Here is a 25169-nt window from a genome sequence, read left to right as displayed (position 1 = left end):
CCTGCCACTTTTTTTCATATCCTTACCACTATCTGGAATTTTTATGTGTGCCATCTCCAGTAAAATACAACCTGCATATGTGCATGGATCTGGTAAAATTGTTACTTTTGCTATCCCCTTCTTTCCTACTAAGTGCATCAATAAATAGCATCCACTCTATATTTGTGTCTTTCCTCAAGTAAATACATGAAAATGAGATCCTGCAAGTTTGTGTTTTTATATTAAGTGTTAACTCCAGAGATTGCAACACTGTTCTTGTAGGATGTTTTTTTGGGGAAAGCATTCCTCTTATGGCAGCCTTGTTGGCCTGAGGCAGGGCTTAAACAAACTGATTGAGCAGGCTCAAAAGGACAGTATCGTAATGGACTGGAGTGGCCAGATCTTTCTACAGAAGAAAGAATACGGTAATTTGGCCACGCGCAGTGGCTCATACCTGTAATCTCAGCACTTTGGGAGGCCGAGGTGGGCGGATCATGAGGTCAAGGGATCAAGACCATCCTGGCCAACATGGTGAAACCCCATCTCGACTAAAAAATATACAAAAATTAGCTGGGCATGGTGGCACACGCCTGTAGTCCCAGCTATTCAGGAGGCTGAGGCAGGAGAATTGCTTGAACTTGGGAGGCGGAGGTTGCAGTGAGTGGAGATGATGCTGTTGCACTCCAGCCTGGGCAGCAAGAGGAAAACCTCTGTCTCAGAAAAAATAAAAAATAAAAGAATATGGTAATTTAAGATTCATATGTTTTATCCATCTTGAAAAATACCTTGTGCACATATTTAAAGTCTTTTTACACATTGATTTATTTTGAGTCTATTGTATCTGTCTACATTATTTAAGCAATGTAATCACTAAAAATTTAAGCACTGGGTTGAGCCTTCTGGCATCCCATTAGAATGCCTGGGGAAACACACTTCTTGCCAATTGCATGCCTGCTGATTGGGGAATGAAACGCAAATATTCCAGAATCAACAGATTTCTTTATTTTATTTTATTTGTCACCCAGGCTGGAGTGCAGTGGTGAGATCTTGGCTCACTGCAAACTCTGCCGCCCGGGTTCAAGTGATTCTCCTACCTCAGCCTCCTGAGTAGCTGGGATTACAGGCGACTGCCACCACGCCTGGCTAATTTTTGTAGTTTTTAGTAGAGATGGGGTTTCACCATCTTGGCCAGGCTGGTCTTGAACTCCTGACCTTAGGTGAGGAGGAAATGCCATTTTGTAAATCCCAAAGTGCTGGGATAACAGGTGTGAGCTACCATACCTGGCCTAGAATCAACAGATTTCTGAACATACTGAATTACTTCTTTCATATTAATTTTCAGACCTTTTCAAAAAAGGATTTGGATACCCTGTTGATATTCATATTCATATTATTATGTTGGCATTCATATAATATGTGTAGGACTTTATAGTTATTTAAAAACCTGTTATAGACTTTTTTGTTTATTATTTAAAACTTTTTTCAGAGGGACTTGTTGCTTTTTTTTTTTTTTTTTGAGATGGAGTTTTGCTCTTGTTGCCCAGGCTGGAGTGCAAGGGCACGATCTAGGCTCACGCAACCTCTACCTCCTGGGTTCAAGTGATTCTCCTGCCTTGGCCTCCTGAGTAGCTGGGATTACAGGCATGTGCCACTCGCCTGGCTAATTTTTTGTATTTTTAGTAGAGACAGGGTTTCACCCTGTTAGCCAGGATGTTCTTCATCTTCGGACCTCAGGTGATCCCCCCTGCCTTGGCTTCCCAAAGTGCTGGGATTACAGGTGTAAGCCACCTCGCCCAGCCTCAGAGGGATTTCTGGTACCAGAATTATAGATTGTTTTTGTTACCGAACTTCCTAAGTTATGCTCGTTCTTTGTTTATTAAGGGGAGACACTAGATTTTTTTTATCACGCTTTTTATCATCATAGAGAACTTTAGTAGTCTACAAGAATATTGTTAGAGGCTTAGCAGTGGCCTCACTGCACATACATGTATATGTCTTTGGGAACCTACAGGTTTTTAAGAAGTCGTTAAACTTAATATTTACTAGATATTTGTTTTTGGATGGCATCTAATATATTAATAGCCCAGAAAAAAGGCGCCACTAATGAATATGTCTTGGATTACATAGTGACATATATTAGCTTTTCGTCCACATTTGATAACATTGCTAATATTTTTTTTTTTTTTACTGAAGCTCTTTGAATTTAAAGTTTTCTCTCATTTAAATTTATTAATTGAAAACATACCTTTACTCTGTTCCCTTTAGCATTTCAACCTGATGTTAAAAGATGTGTATGTGTGATATGTGTGTTTGAAATTTTAACTTTCATCTTGGAGTATTTAATTCTCTGAAGCAGTGCATGACTCTTGCTCTTCAGCCTCTTGAGAGTGTCCCTGGTTTATATTCCTGATGATACAAACCCTGGAATTTCTTGTCTGAAGTGTTAACACTTTATTTCCAGGTCCTAATTTGATTTGAATAGTGGAAGTTCAGATTCAATGCATTAATGACAGATTCTATGTTGACTTCTTCAGATTTGCCAGACAGAAAAATCTACTTATGTGAGGAAATCATTAGGCTTTTTGACTATCCTCTTTGTATAATGAGACTCTTTTCTCATTAGATGAGTAAAAAGATCCAGAGATGATCACCAGTATCCCCCAGAATTCATATATATTTAATTGAAAAGAAAGCAAATCCTGGGATTCTTTCCTAAAAAGGTTGATTACATTTCTTGCCTGTCTGTACGTTCTTTGTATAAACGTGAAGAAAAATAAAAATATAGGTTTTCCAGCACTGGGACTATGAAATTTGAGATTTAACATTTATTCATTAGTCAGATTTAAAGGAATCTACCTTAAGTCATAGTTTATATTGTTTTTGAAGGACCTGAGTAAGGATTCTATTAAAAATGATTAATTCTGTCATTATTTGAAATATTGATAGGATTTTAATATGTTCCTTTTTTGAAAATACTAGAATTATAAATTACACTTAATAGCAAATAGGTCGTAAGTATGTGGTAATCAATTTATTGACTAAAAATTTTGTAAAAGATGCCTTTTATTTAAAGTGGCCTATCGTATAGTTACTATAATGCTAGTGCTCTCTACATTTTCATTGTAATCTTACTGAAGAAGTAAAAATTAATCATTGTTCTCCCCACTCTAATATTAATTCAGAAATCATAATTGTACACATAGGGTACAACGTAATGTTTATATATATGTGTGTAATGTAGTATGATTAAATCATGCTAATTAACATACTATCGCCTTACTTTGCTTACTTATATTTTGTGGTGAGGCATTTGAAATTTACTCTTAATTGTTTGAAATACATTATTATTATTGCTATTGTTATCTGTGTCTTCTCTTTGCAAATAAATACATCATTATTTACTATGGCCACCCTGTTGTGCAAAGATTTCAAAAACTCTTCTCCTATGTGAAATTTGTTCCCTTTTCTTTTTCCAAAAAAAAAAAAAAATCCACCTGCTGTCTTAGCATAAAAATAGAACCAGTGTGTTTTAGATTCCTCTCTAAGTGTCTTTATTTTTAAGAATGTATTTTTTTTTTTTTTTTTTGAGACGGCGTCTTGCTCTGTTGCCCAGGCTGGAGTGCAGTTGGCACCATCTTGGCTCACTGCAATCTCCACCTCCCGGGTTCAAGCGATTCTCCTGCCTCAGCCTCCCATGTAGCTGGGATTACAGGTGCATGCCACCACGCCTGGCTAATTTTTGTATTTTTAGTAGAGACGGGTTTCACCGTGTTGACCAGGCTGGTCTCAAACTCCTGACCTCAGGTGATACGTCCGCCTCAGCCTCCCAAAGTTCTGGGATTACAGATGTGAGCCACCGTGCCCAGCTAGAATGTGTGTATTTTAAAAAGTTGATCCTTCACAGATATTTATCTTAGGAGAGGCTGGTGTCATGAAAAAAGCTATGGACTAAGAATGGGAAGACAAAGATCTTCTGTATTGGCACTACCAGCTGTGTCCCTCTGAGGGGGTAATTTTTGCCTTTTGAAGACGTTGGGAGGGTTAAAGTTCAGGAAATTATTTTTAAAACTGTTCCAGTGAATATTTAGAAAAATATTAGTGGAGATAGAATTAATTGCTCTGCAGTGGAGTGGCTCTCTTTCTACATTTTCTTTTTTTCTTTTTTCCTTTTTTTTTTTTTTTTTGAGACGGAGTCTCGCTCTGTCCCCCAGGCTGGAGTGCAATGGTGCGATCTCAGCTCACTGCAACCTCCGCCACCCGGGTTCAAGCGATTATCCTGCCTCAGCCTCCTGAGTAGATGGGATTACAGGCATGTGCCACCGCACCCAGCTAATTTTTTTTTTGTATTTTTAGTAGAGGCGGGGTTTCACCTTGTTGGCCAGGCTGGTCTTGAACTCCTGACCTTGTGATCCATTCACCTCTGTCTCCCAAAGTGCTGGGATTACAGGTGTGAGCCACCGTGCCTGCCCTCTTTCTACACTTTCTAGTATAGTCCCATTAGGCTGTAAACCTATTTCAAGTTGAACGATAAGAAATTTCAGCATAGCTCTGCATCATCATTTTTTCTCCATATCTTGTATTCACACCTTAAGAATTTGTTACTAGTTGAAATGATAAGCCAGCAAACATAATCTAATCTTTGTGACTGTTTGCATAGATTGGAGGGCAAGTACAATGTAAATGGAATGTATATAGAGAAAGGGTAGGTTAAAAGGTAGCTTATAGCTTGCTTACCTTTTACTACACAGTTGGAATTTAAGAACTGATTCTTATAAGAACACCAGTTGAACGATGAGTTGCTTTTTTCCCTCTGGTGTAGTGTGTATGGGTGTGTATATACATATTTTTATTTTAATTTTTTTTTTAATGGGAGGAGGGAGGATGCCAGAAACATTTAGTTGTACTCTGCCAATGTGATAGTTTTAAGTACTTGAGGGGGTGGAGAAGAACCACACGCATCTTCTAAACAAAGATGGGAAATATCATATCATTATAAGAATGTATATACAGTATTAAGCAATTACAAGATTTTGGGCCAGGCATGGTGGTGCTTTGGGAGACCAAGACAGGGAGGTGGGTGGATCACTTGAGCCCAGGAGTTGGAGACCAGCCTGGGTAACATAGTGAGACCTCGTTTCTACAAAAAATAAAAAAATTGGCTGGGCATGGTGACTTACACCTGTAATCCCAGCACTTTGGGAGGCTGAGGCTGTCAGATCACCGAGATCAGGAATTCGAGACCAGCCTGACCAACCTGGTGAAACTCCGTCTCTACTGAAAATACAAAAATTAGCTGGGCATGGTAGTGCATGCCTGTAATCCCAGCTATTTGGGGGCTGAGGCAGGAGAATTGCTTGAACCCAGGAGGCAGAGGTTGCAGTGAGCCAAGATCACACCACTGCACTCCAGCCTGGGTGACAGAGCAAGACTCTGTCTCAAAAAAAAAAAAAAAAAATAACTGGACATGGTGTCATGAGTTTCTAGTCCCACCTACTTGGGAGGCTGAGGTGGGAGGATTGCTTTAGCCCAGGAGGTCGAGGCTTCTGTGAGCTGTGATTGTGCCACTGTCTCAAAGAAAAAAAAAAAAAGATTCTGGTACTATTTGAAATTGTAGTACTGTAAATCTATAATAAATGATTGCTGTCTCTTAAGGAACTTAGTATCTGGAAACATTGTTTCTTTTTTTCTTGTAAAAGGGAATTATAAAAGTTACTTCTTTTAAATCACTTATGTCAATCTGATTAAAGTGTGTTTAGTATAAAATGTAACAAAAGAAAAAGATAGGGTTTGTATAGACTGTGGGTTTAAAGTGGCTTAAGTGATGATTTTGAAGTTTCCTAGGTGTCTTATACTTAAGGCTAAATACAAAGACCTCAGTAAATTTCTGGCTACTGCTGAGCATGGTGGGAGCATCGTTTCCTGTTCTTACTAGTATGTTTCAGCAGCTAGCAAAAGCTGTCTTCATTTAATACATTTTCCTGCAGTTAAAATAATAGTGTGATTATCTTGAAAGGCGTCTTCCTTTTTCAGTATTTGATTTGTGAGACCATATCTTCTGGAATTACTTGAGACCTCTAATTAAATTGACTTTTAAAATTTTTTATTTCATTTTCTTTTAGAGTTGGAGGTCTTGCTATGTTGTCTGGACTGGCCTAGGATGATGACGATTTTTTTCTTTAGAGACACAGTCTGACTGTGTTGCCCAGGCTGGTCTCAAACTCCTGGGCTCAAGTGATCCTCCTGTTTCAGCCTCTTGAGTAGCTGGGATTACAGGTGTGAGCTACTGCAGCCAGCTTGGCCTAGGATTATTTTTATTTTTATTTATTTTATTTTATTTTTTTCCTGTTTTTGAGATGAAGTTTCGCTCTTGTTGCCCAGGCTGGAGTGCAATGGCGCCATCTCGGCTCACCACAACCTCCACCTCCCAGGTTCAAGTGATTCTCCTGCCTCAGCCTCCCGAGTAGCTGGGATTGCAGGCATGCACCACCACACCTGGCTAATTTTGTAGTTTTAGTAGAGACAGGGTTTCTCCATGTTGGTCAGGCTGATCTTGAACTCTTGACCTGAAGTGATCCACCTGCGTCGGCCTCCTAAAGTGCTGGGATTACAGGTGTGAGCCACCGCGCCTGGCCAGGATTATTTTTAAAGAGAAGATTTAACATATGCAATTGTTAGAAAATCTTATAAACATGTTATTCGCTGGGAATGTGCTTCAACCTGTTGGCTAAAGGAACTTTATCAGAATAACTACAGTTATTATCTGACTATTTTCAGGAGTTGAAAAAAATGGTTGCATACATTTCTTTTTTTTTTTTTTTTGAGGCGGAGTCTCGCTGTGTCACCCAGGTTGGAGTGCAGTGGCGCGATCTCAGCTCACTGCATGCTCCACCTCCCGCGCTCACGCCATTCTCCTGCCTCAGCCTCCCGAGTAGCTGGGACTTCAGGTGCCTGCCACCACGCCCGGCTAATTTTTTTGTAGTTTTAGTAGAGACGGGGTTTCACTGTGTTAGCCAGGATGGTCTCGATCTCCTGACCTTGTGATCCTCCCGCCTCGGCCTCCCAAAGTGCTGGGATTACGGGTGTGAGCCACTGCGCCTGGCCCATTCATTTCTTATATTGGTAAACATGACTTCACCTTTACCTTGATTATAAAGTCCCAGTCTACTTTTGAGATTCTTTAGATTTCTGCAGTGTGTAACTCTTTTTTTTTTTTTTTTAAACGGAGTCTCGCTCTGTCACCTAGGCTGGTGTGCAGTGGTGCAATGTAACTCTTAGTGATTCTTAATCTTGGTTGGAATGTGCTATGTTTGGCCTTTTTTTTTTTTTTTTTGGAGACCGAGTCTCACTCTGTTCTCCAGGCCGGAGTGCAGTGGCGAGCTCTCAGCTCACTGCAACCTCCGCCTCTGGGTAAGCGATTCTCCTGCCTCAGCCTCCTGAGTAGCTGGGATTACAGATGTGCACCACCACGCCTGCCTAATTTTTTTGTATTTTTAGTAGAGACTGGGTTTCACCATGTTGGCCAGGCTGATCTCGAACTCCTGAACTCAGGTAATCTGCTTACCTCGGACTCCCAAACAGCTGGGAGTACAGGTGTGATCAACTGTGCCTGGCCTATGTTTGGCATTTAACTGGTGGGGGAGGGATGCATATCTTTGTACATTTTCAGCCTTTTTTGTCCTTCATCTGTTAAAGAGGTCATAGAGTAAGACATTTCCTTTTAATCTTGGCAATTTCCCAGGCCAAATGATAGGTTTCTAGGGTACTTCCAGGACTTAACTGACAAAAGGGGAAGATAAGCGATGCAATTGAGAGCTGAAGTAGGGTCTCTCTTTTTTTTTTTTTTTTTTTGGAGTCTTGTTCTGTCGCCCAGGTGGGAATGCAGCGGCGTGATCTCGGCTCACTACAACCTCCGGCTTCACTACAACCTCCGGCTCACTACAACCTCTGTCTCCCGGGTTCAAATGATTCTCCTGCCTCAGCCTCCTGAGTAGCTGGGACTACAGGCACCACACCACCAGGCCTGGCTAAGTTTTTGTGTATTTTTAGTAGAGGCAGGGTTTCACCATGTTGGTCAGGCTGGTCTCGAACTCCTGACCTCATGATCCGCCCGCCTTGGCCTCCCAAAGTGCTGGGAGTATAGGCGAGAGCAACTGTGCCCGGCGAAGCAGCATCTCTTTTTAAGGTTGTAAGGTAGCTTGGGTTAGAAATAAAGGCAGAGAGCCACTCCATACCTGTAGTTCTAGCTACTGGGGAGGCTAAGACCAGAGGATCTCTTGAGCCCAGGAGTTCAAGGCTGCAGTGAGCTGTAATCACACACTGCACTACAACGTGGGCAACATAGAGTGAGACCTAATTAAAAAATAAATAAATAAATAAATAAATAAATGCAAGGAGAAAGTCATGAACTTGGTGCATTTAGGTGTACAATTAGTTGGCATAAACAATTTTTTTTTTTTGAGATGGAGTTTCTCTCTTGTTGCCCAGGCTGGAGTGCAGTGGCACAGTCTCGGCTCACTGCAACCTCCGCCTCCTGGGTTCAAGTGATTCTCTTGCCTCAGCCTCCGGAGTAGCTGGGATTACAGGTGCCCGCCACCACGCCCAGCTAATTTTTGTATTTTTAATAGATGGGGTTTCGCCATATTGGCCAGGCTGATCTTGAACTCCTGACCTCAAGTGATCCGTCCGCCTCAGCCTCCCAAAGTGCTGGGATTACAGGCGTGAGCCACTATGCCAGCCAAGAATTTTTAAAAAAGGAGTTTCATTCAGCCCACCTCATTCCTCTGCAGGGCACCTGTGTGCAGGGCAAAACTGCTCAACCCTACTCAGCAGCCCTGTGAAAGCTGCTGAAAGGATGAGCAGATTGAGGCCTGAACTGTATCTTGGATTTAGCAGCCTGGAGGTCATAATGGATTTTGCCAAGAGTGATGGGGCAGAATTTGGACCAGTGTGTGTTAAGGAGCTAGAAGAAGTGAAGAAATGGGAGAGGGGAGTCTAGACAACTTTAGTTTGGCTGCAGCAAGTAAAGGCAGATTGTTCGATGGAGGGACATGTGGGATTGATGGAGTTTTTCCTTTTTATATGTTTTTGCATTTTTCAATGGGATACATTAGAAAGTGTTGCATGTTTATGGGGGGGATTTAGTTCAGTGGGAAAAGTATTTGAAAAGTTACAGTAAGGTAGAAGTAGATGGAATCCTCAGTAAGGTCTAGAATCGGGTGCAGGTATTTTATGGTATCTTCCCCACCCCTCCCCGAGATGGAGTTTCGCTCTTATTATTGCCCAGGCTCTGGAGTGCAGTGGTGCAGTCTTGGCTCGCTGCAACCTCCACCTCCTGGGTTCAAGCGATTCTCCTGCCTCAGTCTCCCGTGGAGCTGAGATTACAGGTGCGCACCACCACACCCAGCTAATTTTTGTATTTTTAGTAGAGATGAGGTTTCACCATTTTGGCCAGGCTGGTGTCCAACTCCTGACATCAAGTGATCCACCCGCCTTGGCCTCCCAAAGTGCAGGGATTACAGGCGTGAGCCACCGTGCCCAGCTGGTACCTTTTTTTTTGTTGGTGAAGTAGAATGTGTGTATGGGGAGGGGAGGTGGATAGGATATTTTGGAATTTGAAGATAATGGGAATGTCTGGATAGTGCATGTATAGAATGGGAAGTAAACACTGGAGGACCTGGGAGTGTGGTGCTTATTGATGGATCGTTGGGTTTATCCAGGATTGGGGTTTTGCCAGATGGCTGTGATGAAAATCTTAAGAGTTAAGGGTATAGGCAAGAGTGTTGTTGAAATGACACACAATGAAATCTAAGCTGGTTAAAGAAGTGAAGAAGGGGCCGGGCACGTTGGCTCACGCCTGTAATTCCAGCACTTTGGGAGGCCGAGGCGGGTGGGATCCCTTGAGGTCAGGAGTTCGAGACCAGCCTGGCCAACATGGTGAAACCCCGTCTCTACTAAAAATACAAAAATTAGCCGGGTGTGGTAGCAGGGGCCTGTAATCTCAGCTACTTGGGAGGCTGAGGCAGGAGAATCGCTTGAACCTGGAGGTGGAGGTTGCAGTGAGCCAGTATTGCACCACTATACTCCAGCCTGGGCAACAAAGTCAGAGTCTGTCTCAAAAAAAAAAAAAAAAAAAAAAAAAAGTGAAGAAGGAGGAGAATACTTGGATTGGGATAAAGTAGAAAGAGTCACTGGAATTAAAGTTAACTAAAAAACTCATAAACTTTAGAATGGTACTGAGAAATTGTAAGGTGAACTGAAAAAGGCTCATGGGATTTTAGAGCCAAGAAGTCCTTGAGTGGCAGTTCCTACCTTAGTAGGAATAGCTTCAGTGGTGTGTTGCAGGTGGAACCCAGATTAAAGTGCGTTAAAAAGTAAATGAAGGCAAGGAAGATACATTTTTCAACAGGTTTGTCTGTGAAGAGTCCAGGCTATTAGATTGATAGAGGGAGAAAGGCAGTTAAAGGGTTTTTTTGTTTTTTGTTTTTTTTTTTGAGTCAGAGTCTCACACTGTTGCCTGGTCTGGAGTGCAATGGCGCGACCTCGGCTCACTGCAACCTCCGCCTCCGGGGTTCAAGTAGTTCTCCTGCCTCAGCCTCCCAACTAGCTGGGATTACAGGCGCCCACCACCACACCTGGCTAATTTTTTGTATTTTTAGTAGAGATGGGGTTTCACTATGTTGCCCAGGCTGGTCTCAAACTCCTGACCTCATGATCTGCCTGCCTCACCCTCCCAAAGTGCTGGGATTACAGGCGTGAGCCACCGTGCCCGGCCTTATTTTCTTAATTTTTAAATTTATTTTATTATTATTATTATTTTTGAGATGGAGTCTCTCTGCCGCCCAGGCTGGAGTGCAATGGTGCAGTCTCGGCTCACTGCAACCTCTGCCTCCCGGATTCGAGCGATTCTCCTGCCTCAGCCTCCTGAGTAGCTGGGATTGCAGGCGCCCGCCACCACGCCTGGCTGATATTGGTATTTTTAGTAGAGACGGGGTTTCACTACATTGGCCAGGCTGGTCTTGAACTCCTGACCTCATGATCCACCCACCTTGGCCTCCCAAAGTGCTGGGATTACCAGCGTGAGCCACTGCACCCGGCCTTTAGTTTTTTTTTGAGACAGAGTCTTGCTCTGTCGCCAGGCTGGAGTGTAGTGGCACGATCTCGGCTCACTGCAAGCTCTGCCTCCCGGGTTCAAACGATTCCCCTGCCTCAGCCTCCCAAGTAGGTGGGACTACAGGTGCGTGCCACCACGCGCAGGTAGTTTTATTTTTTCTATTTTAGTAGAGACGGGGTTTCACCATGTTGGCCAGGGTGGTCTCAATCTCCTGACCTTATGATCTGCCTGTCTTCGCCTCCCAAAGTGCTGGGATTACAGGCGTGAGCCACCGTGCCCGGCCATTTTTTGTTTTTGTTTTTGTTTTTTTTAAAGTAAGACTTTTGAGAGTGCTCATATGTTGACGATGTGATAAGCAGTAGTAAAATGGGAGATTTTGCAACATACAAAAGAAACAGGCCGGGTGCAGTGGCTCAAGCCTGTAATCCCAGCACTTTGGGGAGGCCAAGGTGGGCGGATCACGAGGTCAGGAGATCGAGACCATCCTGGCTAACATGGTGAAACCCCGTCTCTACTAAAAATACAAAAAATTAGCCGGGCATGGTGGTGGGCGCCTGTAGTCCCAGCTACTCGGGAGGCTGAGGCAGGAGAATGGCGTGAATCTGGGAGGCGGTGAGTCGAGATCACGCCACTGCACTTCAGCCTGGTCGACAGAGCGAGACTACATCTCAAAAAAAAAAGACAAGACATACCTTGGAAAATGGGGGGAATAGACAGATCCAGATGATTTCTATGGATAGGAGGTTTATTTGTTCCATTATGCGAAGATGATGGGAAGAAAAGCTGTATGTGCAGATGCAGGTGAATTTGTGGATATATTAGAAGGAAGATGACAGGCAGCGTTGGAGTGTTGAAGAGCTCAAACATTAGACAGTACTGGGTCTGAGTTCTGACTCTGCCTTTTACAAGCTGTGCAACCTTAGGCCAGTTATGAAACCTTAGTTATCAAGTTATAACTAATAGGATTGTGTTGAACACGAAATGACATGATAAACATATGTAAACTGCTTGGATCAGTTGCCCACTAGCTCTTGTTAGGAGCTAAAATGTTAGCTCTTGCTGAGGGTGCTGTCAAATGGCTTCTATTTCTCATGGAGCAGAAATCTATAAGGTCATCCACTGGTAGTGGTGGGAGAAGGGAGAAGGTGCAGAAAGTTTTACAGATGTTTTGGAAAGGAAAGAAACCTGATGAGGGAAGTGTGGGCAGCATCAGAGGCCCACTTGAAGTCAGAGAAAAGGAGCATTGGGGCATGGAGGTGAGGGGGTACTTTCTTCAGCTTTTCTCTGAAGACAATTGTGCATGTGAAACAAGGGTTAAAATCAGATCTATTGCCCTCCTGGATTTATTGGCTTCGTTTGCTCTTTCTGGCTAATTTGATTGGAGTTCTGAACATAGAGAATATTAGAGGTTCCTTGGAAGGAAAATAAGCAACACTGAAGCCAAATCTTTATCATGTTTGCTAGAAATGTTATTAAAAAACAAAATTTATGGCCGGGTGCAGTGGCTTATGCCTGTAATCCCAACCCTTTGGGAGGCTGAGGTGAGTGGATCACTTGAGCTCAGGAGTGCGAGACCAGCTTGGGCAGCATTTTGGGAATGTTGTAGAGAATGGGACAAAAAAAATACAAAAGTTGCTGGGCGTGGTGGAGTAAGCCTGTGGTCTCAGCTACTTGGGAGGCTGATGTGGGAGGTTTGCTTGAGCTCGGATTGCGCCACTGCACTCTAGCCTGGGCGACAGTGGGAGACCCTTTTTCAAAACAAACAAGCAACTTTTTTTGAGCTACAGTATATTTAATGGTTTTAAATATGAATGCAGAGTAAGAGGGAGTCCAGTCCATAAGATGACCCTTGCTTCTAATACTAGTTGCAAGTTTGGGGGTTCCCAAGACCACTCTTTTTTTTTTTGAGACAGGGCCTCTCTCTGTCACCCAGGCGAGAGTGCAGTGGCATGATCACGGCTCACTGCGCCCTGACCTCCTCCCTCCCAGGTTCAGGCAGTCCTCCTACCTCAGCCACCTGAGTTGCTGGATCTATGGGCACACACCACCTCGCCTGGCTAGTTTTTCTATATTTTTTAGAGACAGTTTCACCATATTGCCAGGCTGGTCTCAAACTCCTGAGCTCAAGTGATCCGCCTGCCTGGGCCTCCCGAAGTGCTGGGATTACAGGCTTGAGTCACTGTGCCTGGCCAAGACCACTCTTAGGTTGGATGATTTGCCAGGAGGACTCACCAGAACTCATTGAAAGCTCTCATACCCATGGTTAGAGTTTATTGCAGTTTAGGGATTCAGATTAGAATGAGCCAAGGGTAGAGGTGCATAGGGCAGAGTTCGGGGAAGTTCCAAATGTTGGAGTTTTGAATTGTCCTGTCCCTGTAGAGTTGTGAAAAATGACACCTTCCTGGTGGCACTGGTGTGCGACCATACTCATGGATTATTGCCAACCAAGGAAGCTCACTCTATTTTTTATGTCCAGCGTTTTTACTGGGGTTCCATGGTTGCATGCCCATGTGGCTAACCTTAGTCTCCAGCCCCACTGGAGGTCAAGCTGATCCATATGACTCAAAGCCCCCACCATAAGCCACATTATTAGACTCTGCTGTGGCCTAAAGCCCCCAGATGAACAAGGACACTTTCCCCCCACTGCCGCCCCCCCCCCCTTTTTTTTGGAGATAGTCTTGCTCTGTTGCCCAGGCTGGAGTACAGTGGCATGATCTCAGCTTACTGAAACCTCAGCCTCCTGAGTAGCTGGGATTATTACAGGTGCCCGTCACCATGCCTGGCTAATTTTTGTATTTTTAGTAGAGACAGGTTTCACCATGCTGGCCAGGCTGGTCTCAAAATCCTGACCTCAAGCGATCTGCCCGCCTTGGCCTCCCAAAGTGCTGGGATTACAGGTGTGAGCCACTGCTCCTGGCCAGGACTCTCTTATTAGGTTTGACATTTCAAGAGTTTAGAAATTACCTTCCAGAATTCACAGGTAAAAGCCAGACCTCTCCTTGGTGAAGATACAATTCTTTACAATTTTACAATAGTTAAGTATATTTTATCAGTCTATATTGGCTGTTTAGTTGACAAACCGTTAAAAATTGGTGACAGTCCAGATGTGGTCACTCATGCCTCTAATCCTAGCATTTTGGGAGGCTGAGGTGGGAGGATTGCTTGAGTCCAGGAATTTGAGAGCAGCCTGAGCAACATAATCAGACACCTGTCTCCAAAAAACATAAAAATAAAAAATTAGCTAAATAGAGTGGCATGCACCTGTGGTCCCAGCTGTTTGAGAGGCTGAACCCATGAGGTCGAGGCTGCACCCATGAGGTCGAGGCTGCAGTGAGCTATGGTCATGCCAGTGCACTCCAGCCTGGGTGACAGAGTGAGACCCTGTCTCAAAAAAGGAAACAAATCACCCATAAATGGATAATTAAGATTTGGTTATTATAGACACTTAATACTTAGGTAGCTAAGCTAGTTTTACCAATAAATTATATTAATTTAATATTTCAGTATTGCAAAACTGATGCATACTCATTTACAATTTTGACGTGGAATGGTTCTGTTTTGTTTTATTAAATTTGAACTTAAAGTTCTCTGCAAGAAGAGATTTGTATAATGAATTCCCTGAGCCTCTCAAATTAATATTTTAGCCATAGACTCATATTTAGAGCAGTGTTTCTAATGTAATGATACAAGGCCCGGGGTTATTCATAGTTTCACCCTTTCTCTTATTCCTCATTAAAGCATGTTTGAATCCAGGTAAGAGGCATTACAGGGGAAAACCTTGAATTTATTTTTGAAGGGTAAATCATTTCCAAGTGGTATTAACCATTAGTATGGAAAGCAACATATCCTATAACTGCTCTGTGACAGTGAGACTATCTTTGCTACGTTAGAGAATAAGTACATTCCTACTTCATTGGCTTTAGTGCAAATCTCATTTCCTGGTTTATATCCATTACAAATTAGATCTCAGCATGAGAGCAAAATCCCTTAATAAACCTAGGTAAAAGCAATTTGAAGTAATATGATGCTTACTCCAGTGATACCACTAGGTGTGGTGTTTGCATCAAGTCATTTTGGGGTGCTTTATGGAAATGCTTCCTAGTAGGGAAGTCCCTGACTTCACACTTTCCAGAGATGACGCTCTCTCTCTTTTTCTCTCTAATACTTACAAGAATGGACTGCAAGACTACATTTAGTCAGGCGATACCATCCCCAGCACATGGTGGATCGTTGGTGTGAGGTCTAAGGATTCCGGTCATTTGAAACGAATGGCCTCCTAGATTTGTGGCATTTTTCTGTATATTGAGAGTAGGTAACTAAAATAAGTGGTAACTATATTTGCATGTGATTTGTATATTATAGTTAACATTTAAATTCTCTTATGTACTAAAAATTTTTTGGTTGCCACATTAAGCCTCTTTATCCTGTAAGGCACGGAGTGGCTTTCCACCTCAATTTTTGCTTTAATGTATGAACCCTAATGGGACCATAGTTCAACTAAAGTCACCTAACTCATGAATGATATTTGCTCCATGTTTGAACAACAAATGTTTTAACCCACTGTCTTCACTAATATTATAACTACTGTCTTACAGATTGACTTGATGCAAAACATCACAAAGGCTCCATGTTATACAGTATGCGATTTTTGAGTTATGAGCTTTAGAAACTTACCTCTCATGTGGCATGTACCTCAGGCTTTAACTTCAGTTTGATCGTTTTGGGGAAATTTATGCATTTCTTTTTTTTTCTCTCCATGATATTTTTAGAATATTAAAGGGGCTGTAGAGGTATTTTTGGATCTTTGCTAGGATTCTTAGACTTAACAGATAGATTTTCTTTTTTCACTAAATTGAGACACTAATTCTGGCAGATGATATCCCTTTCAGCTCTTCTAACTAACTAGCCTAACATTTATGCCTGCTTCTTGGAGTTCATATCTGCAGTTTCTATTTTGTGGCTTTGATTGCCTCATTTTAAGTGCTCATTTCCGTTCTTTAACAGTTTTCTATTTATTGGACTGGGATGATCTTGTTGGTGCTAACAGCCTGACATTGACATTTTTTGAAACCTAAGCAGTCAAGATTGTATAAAAATAGAAATTTCGTATAAATGTTAAACCATTTTGTGCTTTTCGGTTCAGAATGCTTACAACCTGAGTTCTGGTTGGGGATGCTTTGATCAATTTGTATTAAAATAATTTGGCAACTAGGGAGTTTTCAGGTATTTCTGAGACAGTGGCTCTATTCCAGTTTTTTTTGTTATATTTCTGAAAACACAAATTTTTTTGGGAAAAAAATCTCAGTGTTCATAACTTAGGGGATTTAGAAACCTTATTTCTAACCAATGGGGAAGCTGCTCCTGGTTTTACAGTTTAGTTTGAAATCAGATGCTTCCTAGTTGGAAACACATTGTTGGTAGCCACAGATTACCTGCTTTCTTCAGTGAAGTATTTAAGTTGCTCTATATTGACTGTAAAAACTTGTTTTGATTATATTCATATACTCATGAACTGTTTGTACATTGTCTTTTAGACTGGAAACTGAGTTTATTTTGTATTATGGTCATAATAACTTTTAACATACCCTGCAAACTAAGTGTTTCTTTATAATTCATTATCTTATTTAAGCCTCACAACAACCTTACATGTTAGATAGGTATCATCCTCATTTTATGCAAGAGACAACCAAGGCTTGGAGATCAAGTAATTTGTGCAAAGGCACACATACTTTTCAGTGCTGGAGCTGGGATTTGAGCCCAGATCTTTTTTTAACTTGTATTCTCTGCTGCCTTATGGTACTACTGTGTCACCAGAAAATGATACAAACATTTAACTCTTAATAGTAAAGGTAGTATAGGAGATAAGTAAACATGATGAAAACAGGAAGTGAAGATATGTTTAAATATTGGCAGACTTCAGTTATCTTTGTGTTTCTGAATTAGTCAAGTGCTTATTTTATTTGCTCATCTAATAAGAGCTTACTGTGGCGTACATATAAAGTTCACACCCTGTCAGAAAAGATTATAAGCTCTCTTACATTTCAGTCTCCTTTCAGAAAGTAATGGTATGCTATGATTTATATAGACGCATGTTAAATGTGCTATTTTTAGGTACATAAGGAATGTCTTTTCATTAGTTTAAAAAAGTTATGGTCCATTGAGTTAATATTTTAATGCTTATAGACTTAGTATACTCAGAAAATATTCTCATACATTTTTCTTGAAATTCCATAGATTTAATTTTCCCTTATGTTCGAAGTACTTAGCTTTATGAATAAGCGAACTCTGAATATTAGAAGATACTCCTTATGGAGCCGTAGTCATTTTAGTATGCTAGGTTTTGAATTTCATGAAGTTTCAGATTGAGATCCTTTATAAGTAATGACTTGTACCAGTTAGATATCCAAGTTTAATTGGACCTATTGTCTGCATTCTGTATTAACAGTGATTGCAGTAAGTGCAGATCAAGGTGTCCAACTGAGTGAGCTCATGCAAAGTTTTATGTTTAGTATTTTTGGGAGCAAGGAAAGACTAATAAACTCTAAATGAAATATATACAGTATACAAACACTGCTGTCACTTTTACACCATAGAGGGGCAAAGCGTAGAGGAATAGGTTAGTTTCTGGCCTTGCCAGTGTCCTAAACTTTTCTAAAAGATTCAGGTTCTAAAAGGTGGAGAAAGCATTTTTAGTAAATATCATAGAAGTGATTTTCTTTTTTTTTTTCCTCAAAGTTGTTCCTCTCAGGAGAAAATCAGTAGGGGAAGAACTTACTTGGATTTTTCATATGCTATAACAGATTATTTTGTTGTCTTCTTTCTTAATAGTTTATGATTGATGGCTGAAAGAGTAACACTCGTGAGAAGTCTTGTAACTCAGCTCTGTTTTACTTATGAGGCAGTTGAAGCGTAGAGCAGATACTTAGATGAGGACACACTTTTACCCTTGGCTGTACCCTACTTGTTTACTAATAAGCATCAGGTATTATTCTAAACAGTACCTAAATTTTAAATAGATTATGAACTACAACTTTCCGATATAACGTTATTGCATTTCTGATACCTTTTATTTTCTTAAAATGTCTTCTTTTTTACTTTTTAAAATTTTGATTGCTACCTTTACAATTAAGGCATCTTCAATGGGGTCTTCAATACTACAGTACCTAATCAGTACTTAGAAAATAACTTGGTAAGACATTGCCTGTCCCTGACATGCTGCCAGTGTTTTTTATTTTTATGATAGGAAAGGCTGAAATGTTTTGACTGATTAACCCTCTCCATGGGGGAGAATTTAGAAAGAATTATTCTTATTATCAAGTCATGTGAGGAGAACACTGGACCAGAGTAACCAATTGTCCTGTTTTGCCTGGGACAGGAGGCTTTCAATGCTAAAACCAGCAAAGTCACCCTAATCCCAGTAGTTATTCGTATTTCTGAATGGGTCTTTAGAACAGTAGAAGAGACTGAAAAGTTGGCATTTCATCCATTGAGAATCTCTTCCCAGTGAAAGACTTCTTATTAGACGGCTGAGTGCTTACATATAATATATAGTACATATTACATTAAATACAATAGTAATGGTTAAATGTAAAATTTGGGAGAAGAGAGGCTTGTTTAAAGAAAGATTTATTTATGTTATTTAAAGTTCTAATCTTAAACTTTTCTCTTTTTATAGAACTGATAGTGCATCAGCTGACCCAGGTAATTTAAAATATTCTTCATCCAGAGATAGAGGTGGTTCTTCCTCTTACGGACTGCAACCTTCAAATTCAGCTGTGGTGTCTCGGCAAAGGCACGATGATACCAGAGTCCACGCTGACATACAGAATGACGAAAAGGGTATATATATTTTCTTATTGCTACAAGCATGTTTTTTGAACCTACCTATCCCACCTTCTTGCCTTCTTACACCCCCAACTTTCTCGCTTTCTTCTAATATATTTAAAATACGAATAACAAATGCAGTGTTATTTCTGAAAACTTCATAGGACGTTTATCCACTTTATTATTTTTAAAATTTAAAATTTTTCCGTACATAATTCATCAATGCAGTTTTCTTACAAAAAAGATACAATACTATTTTTGTTTTTATTTTCAAAAATATTTAGCTAAGGTTGAAGTTCCTCTTGGCTACTGTCTCTAAACTTCAAGAAAGTTTTAAGGTGCAAAATTTGATTTAATTTAGTTTTCATTTCTTTGCTTATTTTCCAATGAAGGGATCAAAATAAAATTAATTTAACTTCAAAGGTGTATTAAAAGAAATGAAAATGATTTTCAAGGCAGACAGTACAGGAAAAAGGTAGGAGAAGCAAAGGCTGGTTGAGCTGCAGATTGAGTAGTAAGATCCTGAGCTATCAGGAAATTGACTGAATGAAACGAACAATCATATTTAAATAACGTACACATTGCTGTTTGTAGGTGGCTACAGTGTCAATGGAGGATCTGGGGAAAATACTTATGGTCGGAAGTCGTTGGGGCAAGAGCTGAGGGTTAACAATGTGACCAGCCCTGAGTTCACCAGTGTTCAGCATGGCAGTCGTGCTTTAGCCACCAAAGACATGAGGAAATCACAGGGTAAGGCTGGGAAAATGGGGACCAATCACATACACCTTCCAAAGACTTGTATCTCCTCTTATTCTGGATGCCTCTTACTAACGCCTTGCACAGGCATAAGTTGATTAGTCTACTGTGCAGGTAAAAATTGTTTACATTCTTTTCCTGTGAATTGTTAATTTCCCACTAGAAAGGTTATAGTACATTTTAAAAGAGAATTCTCTTAAAACAAGATTAGAAGACTGGATAAGATCTTACAGAAAAGGTTTACCCAATTATCGTGGATATTGAATGTATAGTGCATAGTAGGCTCTTACTACAGCAAGTCCTTGAACTCTTGGGCCTGTGGAGGATATAGATATATATATAGAGGGGGTACTTTTCTGTCTTTTTTTTTTTTTTCTCTTTTAAGTTCAGGGTACATGTGCAGGATGTACAGGTTTGTTATGTAGGTAAACGTGTGCCATGGTAGTTTGCTGCACAGATCATCCCATCATCTAGGTATTAAACCCAGCATCCATTAAGCTATTCTTGCTGATGCTCTCCTTCCCCCCGCCCCCTAGAGTGGGTACTTTTCTGGTTTTTTTGTTGTTGTTTTCAATATATTTTTTTGAGACAGAGTCTTGCTCTGTCACCCAGGCTGGAGCGCAGTGCTGCAATCTCTCCTCACTGCAACCTCCGCCTCCCAGGTTCAAGTGATTCTCGTGCCTCAGCCTCCCAAGTAGCTGGGAGTACAGGTACATGCCACCACACCCAGCTGATTTTTGCATTTTTAGTGGAGACAGGGTTTCACCATGTTGGCCAGGCTGGTCTCGAACTCCTGACCTTAAGTGATCACATGTGCTCATTACAGGCGTGAGCCACTGGGCCCTGCCTAGAGTGGGCACTTTTCTAAAGTTAAATACACTGATAGCATTTCTGCCTTATGGCGTAGCCTCACTGTATAGGTGAGTGCCTTGGAAGTTCAGAGGATTGGCCGGGTGCAGTGGCTCACGCCTGTAATCCCAGCACTTTGAGAGGCTGAGACGGGCAGATCACGAGGTCAGGAGATCGAGACCATCCTGGCTAACACGGTGAAACCCTGTCTCTACTGAAAATACAAAAAATTAGCTGGGCGCGGTGGTGGGCGCCTGTAGTCCCAGCTACCCGGGAGGCAGAGCTTGCAGTGAGCTGAGTGCACCACTGCACTCCAGCCTGGGCAACAGAGCGAGACTCCGTCTCAAAAAAACAACAACAAAAAAGAAAGTTCAGAGGATTAGAGGTAATGATAATTTTTTTCCTTAAAGAGAAATTTATCGGTAAAGCTGAGTTATGGGCTTTGTCAGATGTAATTACTTTTTGGACATTTAGTTTTTGACTTTTTTTTTTTTTTATACTGTGTGTGTGCTTCGTGTATCTTGGTGAAAATCTTTGTGCGTGTAGCTTTTATTGTTGGTATATAACTTTTAAAAAACTGATTTCTTTTTATGTTTTCACAAGTGGAATGAATTCAAAGGCTATGTATGCTGTTTGTTAAAACAGAGTGTTTGAAGCCTTAGACTTATGATATTATAGAAGCTAAACAGTGACTCTAAAGTAGTTCAGTAAACAATTCCTCTTCTTCAAAGGTAGTTTGCTAGTGACAGAATTGTAAGTAGAGCCTAATTTCCCAGCTGGTAACTTGATGACATTTTTGGTATCCGTCCTTATTGAAATACTCTATGGGCTACGGATTTGTAAAAATCCTATTCTTCTCTCAGACATTGTAGTTTCTTTTTTTTTTTTTTTTTTTTTAACTTTTAAATTCAGGATACAAGTGCAGATTTGTTACACTGGTAAACTTGTGTCATGAGGGTTTGTAGTATAGATTATTTTATCACCCAGGTATTAAGCCTGGTACCCATTGGTTGTTTCTCTTGATCCTCTCCCTCCTCCCACCCCCCACCCTCCAAAAGGATCCAGTGTGTTTTGCTCCCCTTGTAGTTATTTATTTATTTATCTATGAGATGGAGTATCTCCCTGTCACCCAGGCTGGAGTGCAATGGCGCGATCTCAGGTCACTGCAGCCTCCACCTCCCAGATTAAAGTGATTCTCCTGCCTCAGCCTCCCGAGTAGCTGGGATTACAGGAGCGTGCCACCATGCCCGGCTAATTTTTTGTATCTTTAGTAGAGACGAAGTTCCACCATGTTGGCCAGGCAGGTCTCAATCTCCTGACCCCGTGATCTGCCCTCCTCGGCCTCCCAAAGTGCTGGGATTACAGGTGTGAGCCACCACGCCCAGCCTTCTGGTTTCTTTTATTATCAATTTTTTCTCATACCTTAGAAATGAAACTGTCAGACCCTTTGTGATTTGTTGTTTACGTATGTATTGGCTAATTATGGTAAATAGCACAGTTGAAAATGTTTTGCAAAAATTGAGTTTTTTGTTTTGTTTTGTTTTTTGAGACAGTCTCGCTCTGTCACGCAGGCTGGAATGCACTAGTGTGATTTCACTGCAACCTTTGCTTCCCAGGCTAAAGCGATCCTCCCACCTCAGCCTCCTGAGTAGCTGGGATTACAGGCATGTGCCACTGTGCCCAGCTAATTTTTGTATTTTTCGTAGAGATGGGGTTGTACCATGTTGCCGATGCTGGTCTCGAACTCCTGGGCTCAAGTGATCTGCCTGCCTTGCCCTTCCAAAGTGCTGGGTAATTACAGGGAAGAGCCACCTCGCCCAGCAAAAATCTAGTTTTTAAAGGCATTGTTAATATACTAATGGTATTCACTATTGTGTGCTTGTTCTTGTGATTAAAAAATAAGGGGAGAAAAGTTGTGGTTTGCTACCTTTCTAGTGGAGGCATGCCTTGCATGTGGTAGATGATAATTAGACATTTGTTGAACTAAATGTGTGATTATGGCTCCCCAAAACTTCATCCCAGGGAAATGATGATAATGTGAATAAGAGGCTTTCCTCCAGTGGGATACCTAGATGATAAGTAGAAGCCTATATCCTGTTTTTACTCGATTGAGGCTTTATCCGTACCCCTTGGAAGTTGTTTAATTTACCTACACCCAGGCTCTTTACCTGCATGTTGAAAACAGTTTGGAATGGACCCAAAGAAAGTTGTTACTAAGGCCTTTCTTTTTTCTCTCCCAGCCAGTCCTCTGGAATGAGGTGTTCAGCTGGCCTAGGGTTATTCATTTCTCGTTTCCTTCAGCAAATATTTTTTTGAGGGTCTGTTATGTGCCAGGCACTCTGCTGGGATTTGGAATATAGAGTTGAACAAAAGAGCGATAGGACCTATATTCCCTGAGCTTTTATTGACCAGTGGACTGTGACTTTTGATGTAATTTTATTTTTGAGAGAGGGTCTTGCTCTGTCACCCAGGCTGGAGTGCAGTGGGGTGATCTCGGCTCACTGCAACCTCCACCTCACGGGCTCCAGTGATTCTCCTGCCTCAGCCTCCCGAGTAGCTGGGACTACAGGTGCACACCACCTTGGCTGGCTAGTTTATGTAATTTTTTGTGTGTCTGTGGAGACAGGGTTTCACCATGTTGCCCAGGCTGGTCTCAAACTCCTGAACTGATGTGATCTACCCGCCTTCCAAAGTACTGGGATTACAGGCATGAGCCACCATAATAATTTAATTATTATTTAAATAATTTTTAATTTTAAAAATTTAAAAATTATTTTAAAATTTAAAAATTCCTTTGCTTATTTATACTCAATGGACAACAAAATGTTTATATATTCACAGAGAGATCGATGTCTTATTGTGATGAGTCTCGACTGTCAAATCTTCTTCGGAGGATCACCCGGGAAGACGACAGAGACTGAAGATTGGTCACTGTAAAGCAGTTGAAAGAATTTATTCAGCAACCAGAAAATAAGCTGGTAAGTATAGTATGTTTGGAAATATGAGGATTTTTGTGTTTCCATAATAAACTAGGTAATGCTACCTTGAGTAGTTTAAGAATGGGGAAAGTCTGTATTATGATGATCAAGAACTTAATGCTCTCTAATATGTAATTTCTTTTTCTTCTTAAAGACAAGATCTTGCTCTCGCCCAGGCTGGAGTGCAGTGGCACAATCATAGCTCACTGCAGTCTCAAACTCCTGGATTCAAGCTGTCCTCCCGCTGTGGCCTCCTGAGTAGCTGGGACTTCAGGCATGTGCTACTACACCTGGCTGAGGTGGAAGAATCACTTGAGCCCAGGAATTCAGGGTTGCAGTGAGATATGATCACACCTCTGCATGTCAACCTGGGCGACAGAGGGAGTCCTTGTCTCTTAAAACAACAACAGAAATGTAACAAAGTATGGGAAGGGTTAAATTTTTTTCTTCACTTTCTTTACACCAATTAAGAACTTGATATGGGCCAGGTGTGGTGGCTCATGCCTGTAATCCCAGCATTTTGGGAGGCCAAGGTGGGCGGATCACCTGAGTTCAGGAGTTCGATACCAGCCTGCCCAACATAGTGAAGCCCCATCTCTACTAAAAATACAAAATTAGCTGGGCGTGGTGGCACATGACCGTAATTCCAGCTACATGGGAGGCTGTGGCAGGAGAATCGCTTGAACCCAGGAGACGGAGGTTGCAGTGAGCTGAGATCACGCCATTGCACTCCAGCCTGGGCGAAAAGAGTGAAACTCCATCTTAAAAAAAAAAAAAAAGAACTTGACAATGAGCAGGAGAAAATTAATGAAAATGGTCTAGTGAGGCAGATGACACTTGGATCAAAGCAAGTTTCTCCTCCTTCCAAATTTTATTATGAGTAGTTTCAAATATATAGCAAGTTGAAAGAATTTGACATTGAATCTGTTAAACCCATCATCTAATTTTTGTCGTTAATGTTTTGCCCTAAATACTGCCTTGTCACATATCTCTCCATCTATCCCTCCATCCATCAGTCAATTTTTCAAATGGATTTCAAAGTAAATAAAACAAGCTTTTTGAGTTTATTTTTTTGTTGATGATCACAGCTCTATGTTTCCAGTGGGTGAATTTCTTTCATAGGCTGAAAGGAAACATGACATTCCTGATACATGCTCATTGGGGAGTGGGAATAATAAAGAAAGTAAAGTACTGTTGAATTAGAATTTGGAGGGAAGACAAGTAAAAAAGTACACAATGCTATTCTTAAAAGTATAGGAATTTGAAGTTTTTATAAATGTGTTTTCTTTTAAAGGTACTAGTTAAACAATTGGATAATATCTTGGCTGCTGTACATGATGTGCTTAATGAAAGGTAAGTAACTAATAATGGTTCGGTTTAAATGACTTTAAAATATATTTTTAGAAATTACTTAACAATACACAAGAAGACAAACCCACTGGCTTTGTTTATGAACATCTATTGACATTTCAGTGGGTCTTGTCATTTTTATCTGCATTAATTATGTGTTAATTACGGTTGAATACAAATGGAATCCACTTGAAAAGAATATTTATTTTTTGAGCCAGAGTCTCACCGTGTCGCCCAGGCTGGAGTGCAGTGGTGCGATCTCAGCTCACTGCAACCTCCACCTCCCGGGTTCAAGTGATTCTCCTGCCTCAGCCTCCCGAGTA

General features: G+C 41.2%; 1 pseudogene across 1 annotated transcript in view; it reads left to right on the top strand.

Moving 5' to 3' along the window:
• SMG1P5 (SMG1 pseudogene 5) overlaps positions 1–25169 on the top strand; it is a 50357-nt pseudogene that overhangs the window by 10657 nt on the left and 14531 nt on the right. Inside the window, exons 2-5 of the transcript NR_002453.5 lie at positions 18765–18928; positions 19508–19663; positions 23360–23496; positions 24791–24849. The product of NR_002453.5 is annotated as an SMG1 pseudogene 5 (transcript). The remainder of the gene's footprint in view (positions 1–18764; positions 18929–19507; positions 19664–23359; positions 23497–24790; positions 24850–25169) is intronic.

Source organism: Homo sapiens, chromosome 16 (assembly GCF_000001405.40).
Source record: "Homo sapiens chromosome 16, GRCh38.p14 Primary Assembly".
Taxonomy (NCBI): Eukaryota; Metazoa; Chordata; class Mammalia; order Primates; family Hominidae; genus Homo; species Homo sapiens.
Note: the sequence above shows the minus strand (reverse complement) of the source record. Positions and strands in the feature narration are given on the sequence as shown.